The sequence below is a fragment of the Homo sapiens genome, chromosome 6, assembly GCF_000001405.40.
Source record: "Homo sapiens chromosome 6, GRCh38.p14 Primary Assembly".
Taxonomy (NCBI): Eukaryota; Metazoa; Chordata; class Mammalia; order Primates; family Hominidae; genus Homo; species Homo sapiens.
The window spans coordinates 28,888,455-28,901,321 of NC_000006.12; the positions used below are offsets into that span (position 1 = coordinate 28,888,455).

A 12,867-nucleotide genomic window follows, 5' to 3' on the forward strand; every position below is an offset into this window, starting at 1 on the left:
TGATACCCAGTATTTTATAAGCTTTATTGGATATAGTGAGCATCTTTTCCTGAAAGAGAGAGCAGGGAATCACAAATATTACAAAGCTCTGTTTTCACAAAGGAAGTCTCAGGAGTGAGTGACCATTTCGCCTACCCTCTGAATATCAAAGTTTTCAAACATCTACAGGCTCACACAAAATACTCTTCATTTCCCATCTAAGAGTCGGGAACTTAGAACTGGTCACTGGGTGAGACTGACCCTTTCCTTAAGGAGGATAATGACTGAAAACACATTTATTTCTGCTAAAACAAGTTCTAGCCAACCCATTTCCTGGGCATGCTCTTGACAAATTTACTAAAGTTAAGTGAGGCAAGAAGCTGCCATTCAAACATTTCAAAATTGTTATATTCAAAATATTTCCCTTCTATATCTACTCTCTAAAGGTCAATTACTAGAGAAACACAAAGTTTTACACACATTCATCAGAGGTATATATCTTTTTTCTCTGATATGGGTTTTCTTTTTAATGTCTAAAAAGGTTCTGATGGGAAATAAGACCTTCATTTTGAGTAAAGCATTTTCCATATTCAGGGCAATGAGGAAGTCTTTCCCCTGTATGAATGTTGGGATAGTTAATGAAGTGTGAGCTCTCAATGCAGACTTCCCCAAATACTTTACTTTTATAAGACTTCTCTCTTGTGTGCAGTCTCTCATACGATGTCAGGCCTCCATTGTGACTAAAGCTTTCTCCACATTCCTTAAAGTGATAAGGTTTCTCTCAGTGTGTACTCTATGATGCTTAAGAAAGAGTGGGCTCTGATTAAAAGCTTTCCCATGCATAAGATATTTGTAGGGTTTCTCTCCAGTATGTATTCTCTGATGTTTGAGATGGTCAGAATTCTGAAGGTCTTATTGCATACATTACGCTTGTGGATTTCCCTCCAGTATGAAGCCTCTGATGTTTACTAAGATCTGAGCTCCAAATGAAAGTCTTGCCACACTGATCACATTCATAGTGTCTGTGAAAATACAGCTTCTATAATGCAGGCTTTCACAGTGAAGGCCCTTCTATGCTCATCACACTTATAAGGGTTCTCCCCAGTGTGGATCTTCTGGAGATAGAGGCTAGTGTTCCCACTGAAGGCTTGCCACAAACTTTGTATTTACAGGGTCTCTCTTCAGTGTGGATCCTTTGCTGTTGAATAAGATTTGATTTCTTAGTGAAGAACTGTCTACATTCATCACTTTTACAACCCCTCTTTCCCATAAGTATTTTGTTCAGTACAGTTTTCATGACTTCTCTATGATCTCTTTTTCCTGGGGTGAAAATGTTCTCTGTCTCACCAACAAAGGATTTTCTTAGTGCCTCTCATACCTGCCCTCAGGGTCACAAATGTTTTCAATTGCAGGATTTAAGGGATCATCACTTTTCCATCTTCCCAGGAACAGTGAGTGAGATGCTACTTCTTCAGTACTTTTTGGAACCCTGAAGTCATGCTTAGCTTTCTAAACCTATACTCAGTCCAGGCATGGTGGCTCATACCTGTAATCCCAGCATTTTGGGAGGCTGAGGTAGGAGGATCACTTGAACCCAGGAGTTTGAGACCAAGCTAGGCAACATCATGAGACCCCATCTCTAAAAAAAAAAAAAAAAAAAAAAAAAAAAGCTGCTCATGGTGGTGTGTACCTGTAGTCCCAGCTACTCAGGAGGCTGAGATGGGAGGATTGCTTGAACCAAGAGGTCAAGGCTGCAGTGATTGTGCTATTGCACTCCAGCCTGTGCAACAGAGCAAGACTCTGTCTCAAAAATAATAAATAAACCTACACTCACCTTCTGAAATAAAACAACAAAAAATTATTTAAATTTCACTGCTAAATAAGAGCAGTAAGTTCTATTTCCCTTTCCTTCAACAGATTTGCAAATTTAGCTGTAAATGAAGGATTTGAACACAAACAAATTCACACTAAACTCTAGTTTCAGTGTTTCCTATCTTGTTGGCTATATGACCTTAGGCAAGTCACATAACTTTGTGCATCTGTATCTTTGCCTACAAAACATGGACAACAGTTGCAACCTCAAAGGGTTATGAAAGCACACAAAACTGTGTCTGACACACTGTAAGCATTATTAAGTGTGAGTTGCTATTGTTACCATTGTTGTCACATCTCAGTATCCCAACATGTTGCTTATCTTAAATTGAAAAGGATTAAGAAATGTTACTTGCTATTTCTACAAATTCTTTCTTGGTTATTAAAATGTCATGTAAGTAGCTTTGTAGCAAGTCTTGTGTATAGTAGTTCCTTGCTATATACCTGGTATAAAGACGAATAAGATGCCCTCTTGAAGGCCACAACCTAGAGATGTCCTTCAGTTACAAGGCAGTGTGGTAAATACTATAAGAGTGAAGCATAAGAGCTTTGGGAGTGCAAAGAAGGAAACATCTAACTGCCTGAGAGAATCAAACAGAAAGTTTTGCAGCGGAATGGTTGATTGGCGTATCTTAAAACATAAATACAAATAGTCAGAAAAAGGGAAGGCAGTAAAAGCTTTCTAGATGGAAAGTATATACATACAAAGTTATTAAGGCACTTTTAAAATGGTACTTTCAGACAGTTGAGAACAGTTTGGTCTAGCTGGAACACAGATTGAATATGAAGGCGAAAGGAGATAAAGCTGAAAATGTAAGCTACATCATGAACAGTCTTGTTGCCAGGATAATGAATTGAACCATTAACAGATGCTAAGAATGTGTGTAGGCCAGGCACGGTGGCTCACGCCTGTAATCCCACCACTTTGGGAGGCTGACGCTGGTGGATCACGAGGTCAGGAGATCTAGACCATCCTGGCTAACACAGTGAAACCCTGTCTCTACTAAAAATACAAAAAATTAGCCGGGCGTGGTGGCAGGCGCCTGTAGTCCCAGCTACTCAGGAGGCTGAGGCAGGAGAATGGCGTGAACCCAGGAGGCGGAGCTTGCAGTGAGCCGAGATCGCCTCACTGCACTCCAGCCTGGTGACAGAGCGAGAATCCGTCTCAAAAAAAAAAAAGAAGGTGTGTGTAATATTAGCTTTCAGTTTTATGCAAGTCACTATAGTGACAGTGTGAAAGATGGTCTTCAAGGAGAAAATGGACAAGACTGGCCGGGCACGGTGGCTCACGCCTGTAATCCCAGCCCTTTGGAGGCCAAGGCAGACAAATCTCTTGCGGTCAGGAGCTCAAGACAGGCCTGGCCAACATTGTGAAAACCCGTCTCTACTAAAAATACAAAAATTAGCCGGGCGTGGTGGCACGGGCCTCCCAGCTACTCGGAAGACTTAGGCAGGAGAATCGTTTGAACCGGGGAGGCAGAGGTTGCAGAAAGCCGAGATCGCGCCACTGCACTCCTGGGATTGATTGATTGATTGATTGATTGATTGATTTAGACAAAAGGTCTCTGTTGCCTAGGCTGGAGTGCACTGGTGTGATCTCGGCTCACAGCAACTTACACCTCCCGGGTTTAAGTGATTCTCCCACCTTCGCCCCCTCGAGTAGCTGGGACTACAGGCACGCACCGCCACACCCAGCTAATTTTTGTATTTTCTGGTAGAGACAGGGTTTCACCATGTTGGCCAGGCTGGTCTCGAACTCCTGAGCTCAAGTGATTCGCCCACCTCAGCCTCCCAAAGTGGTGATCCTGGGTTTTAACCAGAATAGAGGACATACCACTACCCACTTATTGAACATATTCTAAATAAGTTTTCTTATCCTAAAATATTTTATATTCCAATATTGGAATCGCCTGAGTCCAGGGTGGTCAAGGCTGCAGTGAGCTATGATTGTGCTACTGCACTCCAGCCTGAGTGACAGAGTGAGACCCTGTATAAAAAGGAAGGAAGGAAGGAAGGAAGGAAGGAAAAGAAAAAAAATTATAGAAAATAGATTGTCGGTTGCCTGCAGGTTGGGGGAGGCTGAGAGATGGGGAGTGACTGCTAAGGAGTATTTTTTTTTACCTTGAGGTGATAAAAATGTTCTAACACTGATGGTGATAATGTTTGCACAACTCTGAATATTCTAAAAGTGATTGAATTGAATTGAATGGTGTGTAAATTATATCTCAATAAAGCTGGTAAAAATTTAGTGATTCAATAAAATCCTTTATTTGGTCAATGTACGGTATTCTGTCAGTTGAGACAAAAGTTAACATTCGAATTTAGATTTAGATTTTATATCTTCAGCTTCTTCTATCTAGAAAAGGCATTCACTAGTAATTATTAGGATGATTGTGCATTGTTATGTACAGATAACCGCAGTGACTTATCTGATAGTCCTTTAACAGACAGGAGTACTAGTGTAGTTACTTTGTTTTTATGTAACTAGGTAGGTCTTATGTAATGTCTTATTTGTCTGAATGAAAGATTATTGTGTCTTTAGCAGAGGAAAAGAGATAATCTCTCCGCACTGAAGATTATTTTAATGAGTAGTATAAGTAATGATATACACAAAATGGGAAATTATCTTGGCCTTAATGAACCATGTATTCTACATATAGAGTATAGAATACATGGCTTCTGTAAATAAAAGTTTCCAGTATTGGAATATAAAAAAATTTAGGATAAGAAAACTTATTTAGAATACATTCGATAAGTGGGTAGTGGTATGTCCCCTATTCTGCTTAAAACCCAGGATCACCACTTTGGGAGGCTGAGGTGGGCGAATCACTCAAGGTCAGGAGTTCGAGACCAGCCTCGTCAACATGGTGAAACCCTGTCTCTACTAAAAAATATAAAAATTAGCCAGGTGTGGTGGTGCACGCTTGTAGTCCCAGCTACTCGGGAGTCTGAGGCAGGAGAATCCTTTGAACCTGCGAGGCAGTGGTTGCAGTGAGCCAAGACAGCGCCATTGAACTTTAGCCTGGGTGATACAGCAAGACTCTGTCTCAAGAAAGAAAGAGAGAGAGAGAGAGAGAGAAAGAGAGACAGAAGGAAGAAAGGAGAGAAGGAAGGGAGGGAAAGAGAGAGAGAAAGAAGGAAGAAAGGAAGGAAAGAAGGAAGGAAGGAAGGAAAGAAACGCAATTTAATTCAGTTCAACTGCAGTTGAGCATTTGTGGGGGTGGGGGCGGGGTTGGGATGAGGGGTTGGAGACAAGCCCAGGCTGGTCTTGAACTCCTCGCCTCATGTGATCCTCCCTCCTCAGCCTCACCCAAGTGCTGGGATTATAGGTGTAAACCACCGTGCCCAGCAGGACAGTCAAGAAAATTGAAACTGGAAAGTACCTTGGCCTTTTACCCCAAATCTACACAATTTTACACAGTGGCAGTGCTTTTTCCTCTAACGCTATAATAGAATTCTGCAGGAGAATTCTTTCAGGGAGTTCACCTTTTGTTTTATTAGAGAGCTAAGTAACCTTGGGAGGTTGGGCTGACTTTGGAAGCTTCTGGAAATAAATGGGGGTTTAACAGATATTAACTTCATCCCGCCTTACAGATAAATGCCATTTTACTTTGAAAAGCAGTAGGTGGGGGTAGGGGGCGAGAAATAGAAAATTCCATCAGTTTGGTGAAAGCTTTTAGAGGATAACGTACTCTGTTCCATGAAAGAATCAGAAATGTGAGCAATGCAGGGAGAAGTAAGGTAAATCCAGACAAGCAGGATGGATTCCAGATGAGAAACCATATCTTCCATAGTGAATTTTGAAATGAATTTAAAATCTCCTATTATATAATCTGCAGTTTACTTTGTTTTCTTGTTGGAGAAAGTGGTTTTTGGAGTCCAAGTATGCAGAGGGCACCTAGGATTCCAGAGTTAATGGGACTGAAGAGAAAAAAGCGTAACCTGACCCAGATTCTGCTGCTCACCGCTCCAAAGCCAAATGCTAGAGGGGAGGTTTGGTGGGAGGAAAAGCTGCTTTTAATCCGAAAGCCAGCAAACTGAGAAGATGGAACACTAGTGTTCTAAAGTACCACCTTAAAATTTAAATTTTACCATACGGTTTTTGTGTTTTTGTTTTTTTGTTTTTTGTTTTTTCCTGTGACAGAGTCTCACTCTGTTGCCCAGGCTGGAGTGCAGTGGTGCAATCTTGGCTCACTGCAACCTCCACCTCCCGGGTTCAAGTGATTTTCCTGCCTCAGCCTCCTGAGTAGCTGGGATTACAGGCATCTGCCACCACACTCAGCTAATTTTTGTGTTTTTAGTAGAGACAGGGTTTCACCATGTTGGCCAGGCTGGTCTCGAACTCCTGACCTCAAGTGATCCACCTGCCTCGGCCTCCCAAAGTGCTGGGATTACAGGCGTGAGCCACCACTCCGGGCCTACCATAGGGTTTTATTTATTTATTTATTTATTTATTTATTTATTTATTTATTAATTATTTTTTTTGAGACGGAGTCTCACTCTGTTGCCCAGGCTGGAGTGCAGCGGGCAATGTGGGCTCACTGCAAGCTCCGCCTCCCGGGTTTAGGCGATTCTTCTACCTCAGCCTCCCGAGTAGCTGGGACTACAAGCACCCACCACCACACCCGGCTAATTTTTTGTATTTTTTAATATTTTTAGTAGAGACGGGGTTTCACTGTGTTAGCCAAGATGGTCTCAATCTCCTGACCTCGTGATCCGCCCGCCTCGGCCTCCCAAAGTGCTGGGATTACAGGCCTGAGCCACTGCACCCGGCCAGCAATATTTCTTCTGTAAAAGAAAAGAATAAGTGTTCCACATGGAAAGAACCCAAGATATATTAAGTGAAAAATGTCATAGCATGACTACATTTCTGTTAAAAAAAAAAAACAAAATGTTATATATATATGCGAATGCAGAGAAAAAAGAAATGTAAAAAATACAATAAATTTTTCACGGTGATTACATTTGCGAGAGGAACGTACAGCTTTCATATTTCATTCAATGGTTAAAATGGTACTCAATTTTGACTGACAAAACGGTAATGATCAGATGCCAAAACGAGTGTGAATGTGCATAATTTACGAAAGACATTTTTGAGAACTGGTTACATGAGTTTTGAAAATAGGAGAGCAGAGGACCTGTGTAAGATTTTTAAAGAGACTGCACTGTCACGAGCCACAGCGTTGTGAGATTGGTAGGAAAGTGCTCCAGGAAATATCTAGGGGAGGGCTTGGATCTGAGACACAGAGTGTGAGCCTGGTCGAGAAGCGGGAAAAGAACCCGCCCAGAGCCCCTTCTCTCCATTCCCTCGGCGAGGCAGGAAGCTATCTGCGTTCCGAATCCCGCGACATCAGGATTATCTCGCACTGCAGCACAGAGACCAATCGCTAGTAACCTCTGCCTTTAATTAGGCGTTTTTTGGCCCAAATCTCGCGGCTTCGTAAAAATATCGCGATGCTTCCGCTTTTAATGTTTTTAGTTTGGACAAGCCCTTTGAGATAAATTTAAAAGCCAATTCTTTTTTTTTTTTTTTTTTTTTGAGACGGAGTGTCGCTCTGTCCCCAGGCTGGAGTGCAGTGGCGCGATCTTGGCTCACTGCACGCTCCGCCTCCCGGGTTCACGCCATTCTCCTGCCTCATTCCCGAGTAGCTGGGACTACAGGCGCCCGCCACCACGCCCAGCTATTTTTTTTGTATTTTTAGTAGAGACGAGGTTTCACCGTGTTAGCCAGAATGGTCTCGATCTCCTGACCTCGTGATCCACCCGTCTCGGCCTCCCAAAGTGCTAGGATTACAGGCGTGAGCCACCGCGCCCGGTACCTAAAAGCCGATTCTTAAAAATATACGTTGGTAATTGTTTATGCCTACTGCTGAGATCAGGATATCTCTAAAGTAAGGAGAGGAAAAAGAAAAGTATGTGTCAGAAGTGGGATTCGAACCCACGCCTCCATTGGAGACCAGAATCCCCACCGCGGAGGAAGCTTAGCTTGAGTCTGGCGCCTTAGACCACTCGGCCATCCTGACACACTGCATAACAGCCCTGATTTTTGCACTAAAATAGAGATCAACAAGCAATGATTCTGTGTCGTGCACGCACGCAGAAACGCGATGACGTCAGGGTTGCTTGGTAACAGAAGGGCAGAAAGCCACTTGTGGATTGAAAAAGCAAAAGGGTTCGCAGGACTAGAAAATGTTTCTGCATAAAACTGGATCAAGTCTCTTACGGGCCTTATAACTGTTATCGCCATCTCGAAAAACGTGTGCGGGTTTTTTTTTTTTTTTTTTTTGCTCCCAGCCTGCCCAGATTTCAGGAAGGAAAGAAGATCTTTTGCTTCTTCGGTCGCTGGGTCGGCTCTCCAGTGTCTGATGTTTACTGAAATCTTGATCGTGGTTAGCCTCCCCCAGGACTTCATTGTTTGGAAGATGGTGAGGAACAAAACAAAACCCTAACAAAAGACCCCGGTTCTATAGGAAGGTCCCCTTTTAGCCCCTCTATTTTGGTTCCATTTGTCACTGCCTTGCCACTCGTCGAAGTTTGTCTTGGGCTCTAAAAGTGGTAGCCGGGAACGGCTGGGAAGGTCTCCACAGGGACCACCACATGGGCAAGGCTGGTGTCCGCGCCGAGGGATCGGCGATCCCAGGTCCGGGGAAACTCCGCGAGCGACGCGCTCGCCCGCGGCCTTCCTTGTCGCTCTCGGATGTTCCCGATTAATGGGCTCCAAGTGACCACTGCCAGGTCGGGGAACACAGCGGTAGTTTTTAAGGGGAGTGCACCACATCGCCTGATCCACTTTTCTGTTTCTCAGCCTTCGCCAAGCAATCTGAGCTCCAGGCCGGGAAGCCCCAAGGTCACAAATTTTAATGGAGCCCTGAAACTAAACAGAAATCATCCCTCCCACTAGAACAAGAGCCCCTAGAGGCCAGCGACACCGCTAAAATAACATGTGTAGACCAATGCCGTCCAGGTAACAGTGCCTGGCAAACACGGTAGAGGTTCAATAAATACATTTTAACTCAACCGTCTTAACTCTTGTATTTGGGGCTGTGAGGTTCAGATAGAGGAAATATAAAGTTGGATATTTTAATTAGATTTTGTCCTAATAGCTTACTTTTTGTATTTGTTAATATAAAAAAAATTTCCTTTTTGTAAGGCAAAGTTAGGTCTCTTTTCTGCATGGAGAAATAACTGAGTTTCAGTAGGCTCTATCTTAATTTCCACAGACTTCCTTGGTTTCATATCCTATTTTTGATAGAGAGAAAATTAGTAGTGAGAAGTACAGTGAACACTGGTTCCCCAGTCTCCCTCCAATACATGAGATTTGTATATTTTCTTTCGATTGGAAGGAAATTGTCCAGGAAGTGATTCCCAACATGGCAACTGTAATCTTACCCTAACTATAATTATTTTTTTCTAATTGCAAAGTACACACAAATTGTAGAACATACAAACATGTCAAAAATTAAAATCATCCATAATCTCACTAGTCAGAGGTAACTATTAACATTTTTATATATTTAGTCTTTCATATGGTATACATTTTCCAAAAATGGTCATGTGTAGTAAATAATTTGCTAACTTGCTTTCTAAATGAATATATTATGAATATATACTTGCTAAGTACTATATTTTGCATAAATCTTAATTCCTGCACATATTCCATATCAAAGTGGTATTCTTGAAAACTGGATTATTTCTAATTTTTTATTTTCATCAGCAATGCTGTAAAAACTATCCTTACATAAATATTTTCAAACATCCACGATTATTTCCTTAAATTTCTAAAAGTGAAACCATTACATCAAATTTTTTTTTTTTTTTTTTTTTTTTGAGACGGAGTCTCGCTCTGTCACCCAGGGTGGAGTGCAGTAGCACGACTTGGCTCACTGCAACTTCCACCTCTCGGGTTCACACCATTCTCTTGCCTCAGCCTCCCGAGTAGCTGGGACTATAGGCGCCCGTCACGACGCCCGGCTAATTTTTGTATTTTTAGTAGAGACGGGGTTTCACTATGTTGGTCAGGCTGGTCTCGAACTCCTGACCTCTTGATCCGCCCGCCTCAGCCTCCCAAAGTGCTGGGATTACAGGCGTGAGCCACCGCGCCCGGCCTACATCAATGTTTATCCAGTTTTTGTTTGTTTGTTTTGACGGAGTTTTGCTCTGTTGCCCAGGCTGGAGTGCAGTGGCATGATCTTAGCTCACAGCAACCTATCTCCCAGGTTCAAGTGATTCTCGTCTCAGCCTCCCGAGTAGCTGGAACTACACGCATGAGCCATCACACTCAGCTAATTTTTTTTTGTATTTTTAGTAGAAACAGGGTTTCACCATGTTGGTCAGGCTGGTCTCAAACTCCTGACCTCAAATGATGTGCCCGCCTCGGCCTCCCAAAGTGCTGGGATTACAGGCGTGACCCACCGCTCCTGGCACATTTTAATAGGTAACAAATGATATAGCGCCCCCCCTTTTTTTTCTGATTTGATTATTAGTGAGGTCCAATATTCATGTTTAAAGGATTTTTATACTCCTTCCTCAGTAAATTGCTTACCAAATTTTTATGAGGTGTCCATCTTTCCTTATTGATTTGTAAGACTTATTTTATGAAAAGTAAACTCTTGGGATACAGTTTCTATTTACCAAGAACCCAAGCAGAAATTCCTATCTCTTATTAACAAGAATCCCATTATGTCCCTTAAACATTTAGTTACTTCCATCTTACAGAAACTAGAAGCTATACAATTAACAATGTTCCCATGTCAATTTTTAAAACCCAACTGTGGCCCACATTTAGTGTCCTCGTAGTTTTCATACTATAGATTCACTTCTAATCCTGGTCATTTTTTGTGCCATCTTTTTTTTTAATGAGACGGAGTCTCGCACTGTCACCCGGGTTGGTGTGCAGTGGCGCAATCTCGGCTTGCTTCAAGCTCTGCCTCCCAGGTTCAAGCAATTTTCCTGCCTCAGCCTCCCAAGTAGCTGGGACTACAGGCTCGTGCCACCATGCCCAGTTAATTTTTGTATTTTTAGTAGAAATGGGGTTTTTCACTATGTTGGCCAGGCTGGTCTTGAACTCCTGACCTCGTAATCTGCGTGCCTGGGCCTCCCAAGGTGCTGGGATTACAGGCGTGAGCCACCGCGCCCGGCTGTGCCGTATTTTTTCTTTCTTCCTTTATGGCATGTTAAACTCCTGATGTCTTGATTTTATGGGTTTGTTTTGGTTTTTTTTGAGATGGAGTCTTGCTCTGCTGCCCAGGCTGGAGTGCAGTGGTGCAATCTTGGCTCACTGCAACCTCCGCCTCCTGGGTTCCAGCAATTCTCCTGTCTCAGCCTCCCGAGTCGGGATTACAGAAATGCACCACCACACCTGGCTAATTTTTGTATTTTTAGTAGAGATGGGGTTTCACCATGTTGGCCAGGCTGGTCTTGAACTCCTGACCTCAGGTGATCCGCCCGCCTCAGCCTTCCAAAGTGCTGGTGTGAGCCACCGAGCCCAGACATGATTTTATGTTTTAAATGGCTTTAAGTCCTTTTTGGAATAAGGTAAAATATAATTAAATATGTCAATATTTTAACTATTTACTAATAATATTTATTGCACAATAAGACTCCCCACAGGCCATTCTACATTTTTATGAAAACATCTGTAAGAGGAATTTTAAAAGGCCTGACAAATTATTTAAAGAGGGAAGCAGAGGGACTAAAAAGGAAAGAAGCTAACAATGGCGGTCTATGAAAATGAAATAAACAAAACAAAAAAACAGGATTTAATTTCCAACCTTGAAATGAGTCCCTTGACTGTTTTGTTTGAGGTTCATATAACTTGGTTTTCTGGTATGTCCAGGATTACGTGAGAGTAACAGAGATTGGGGTGGAAATTGAGATGATGCTGTATTCAAATGAGACTGACCATAAATTGGTAGTTGAAGTTGGGAGATGATATAGGAGGGTTCGCTGTGTATTTTCTTCATTTTTGTATATGGTTACAGGTTTCCATAGTGAAGAGTTCATTCAATACAGAAAAAAAAAAAATCACCAAGTCTCATCAAAAGCATCTATGCTAATATTTTGGCATATTTCTTCCCAGTTTTTAAAGAAATATGTAGGTTCAAATCTTTCTAATTCTCACTTTTTTCTATTATTCTTTTTGTGCATCAGAACCCTAAAATGGGTTTGGCAATCACATCCCATACAAATCCAAGTTCTTCACATCCTCTAAACAAAGAATCTGGTAGAGATGTGTGTATCTCTAAAGGTTACCTTCAAATGTCCTGCTTACATTTCAAACTTCAAATGCAAAATTAATTCAACAGATAAGCCAGATCTAAGAAATGTATCTTTTCTCCAACGGGAAAAAGGAAATGTAATGGGGCAATACTGTCAAATGGAAGTACTATTTGGCCTGGCATGGTGGCCCATGCCTGTAATCCCAACACTTTGGGAGGTTGAGGAGGAAGAATCCCTTGAGCCCAGGAGTTCGAGCCTGCAGTGAGTAATAATCTTGCCACTGCATTCCAGCCTTGGTGACAAAGTGAGACCCTTTCTCTAACGCTGGTTTGGTTGGGATTTATTATTACTCTCACAGACTTCATATAGGAGGAATTTCTGGTTTCAACAAAGTGCAGGATTTAGTAATGTGCTTATATCATTAAGTCAAAATTTAGTGCAGGACGGAGCTAGTGGGCAAGTCTCTTAGTCTCAAGAAAAAGGGCACTAAGAAACATAGCCCAGGCATTTAGGCTTCCTCTTACATTACTGTGGTCTGCAATGAGGTCTCCTGGAGCACAAGTTTCACTTCTCCCCAGATCATCTTTAGTTGTACTCTACATTTTTTCACGTTATTTTCCCCCTCTCCTAATTAACTTTTCAAAGGATAGAAGCCATGCTCTCTTGTATTCTCTTCAGGAGCAAGTTCAGCTGGGGCACCCAACACTGGCTGAATTGTCTATTTGAATAAAAGAATGTTTTTCATTTGTGAAGAAGCAACTCAACCACCATTGGTATGCTAAGAACCTTTTGAGTTTT

General features: G+C 42.2%; 1 long non-coding RNA gene, 1 other non-coding gene and 1 pseudogene across 2 annotated transcripts, besides 3 other annotated features; 1 reads left to right on the top strand and 2 right to left on the bottom strand.

Moving 5' to 3' along the window:
* Positions 527-1,180, bottom strand: ZNF90P2 (zinc finger protein 90 pseudogene 2; annotated as a pseudogene).
* Positions 6,481-7,117: an enhancer, noted in NCBI's record as "H3K27ac hESC enhancer chr6:28862712-28863348 (GRCh37/hg19 assembly coordinates)". NCBI's record gives its function as "activates a minimal SCP1, AML or CMV promoter by ChIP-STARR-seq in primed H9 embryonic stem cells {active_cell/tissue: H9 hESC(primed)}" and the evidence as "EXISTENCE:reporter gene assay evidence [ECO:0000049][PMID:30033119]".
* Positions 7,179-7,342: a silencer, noted in NCBI's record as "fragment chr6:28863410-28863573 (GRCh37/hg19 assembly coordinates)". NCBI's record gives its function as "represses an EF-1alpha promoter that drives an FKBP-Casp9 reporter gene in an ReSE screen in K562 erythroleukemia cells {active_cell/tissue: K562}" and the evidence as "EXISTENCE:reporter gene assay evidence [ECO:0000049][PMID:32094911]".
* Positions 7,753-8,388: an enhancer, noted in NCBI's record as "H3K27ac hESC enhancer chr6:28863984-28864619 (GRCh37/hg19 assembly coordinates)". NCBI's record gives its function as "activates a minimal SCP1, AML or CMV promoter by ChIP-STARR-seq in naive H9 embryonic stem cells {active_cell/tissue: H9 hESC(naive)}" and the evidence as "EXISTENCE:reporter gene assay evidence [ECO:0000049][PMID:30033119]".
* TRL-CAA1-1 (tRNA-Leu (anticodon CAA) 1-1) lies at positions 7,769-7,874 on the bottom strand. The gene is made up of 2 exons: positions 7,837-7,874; positions 7,769-7,813 (listed from the first exon to the last, which is right to left on the bottom strand). It is a non-coding gene; the product is annotated as a tRNA-Leu (tRNA).
* Positions 8,076-8,866, top strand: HCG14 (HLA complex group 14). Its single transcript, NR_104117.1, has 2 exons — positions 8,076-8,276; positions 8,657-8,866. It is a non-coding gene; the product is annotated as an HLA complex group 14 (long non-coding RNA).
* Positions 8,867-12,867: the final 4,001 nt, after the last annotated feature.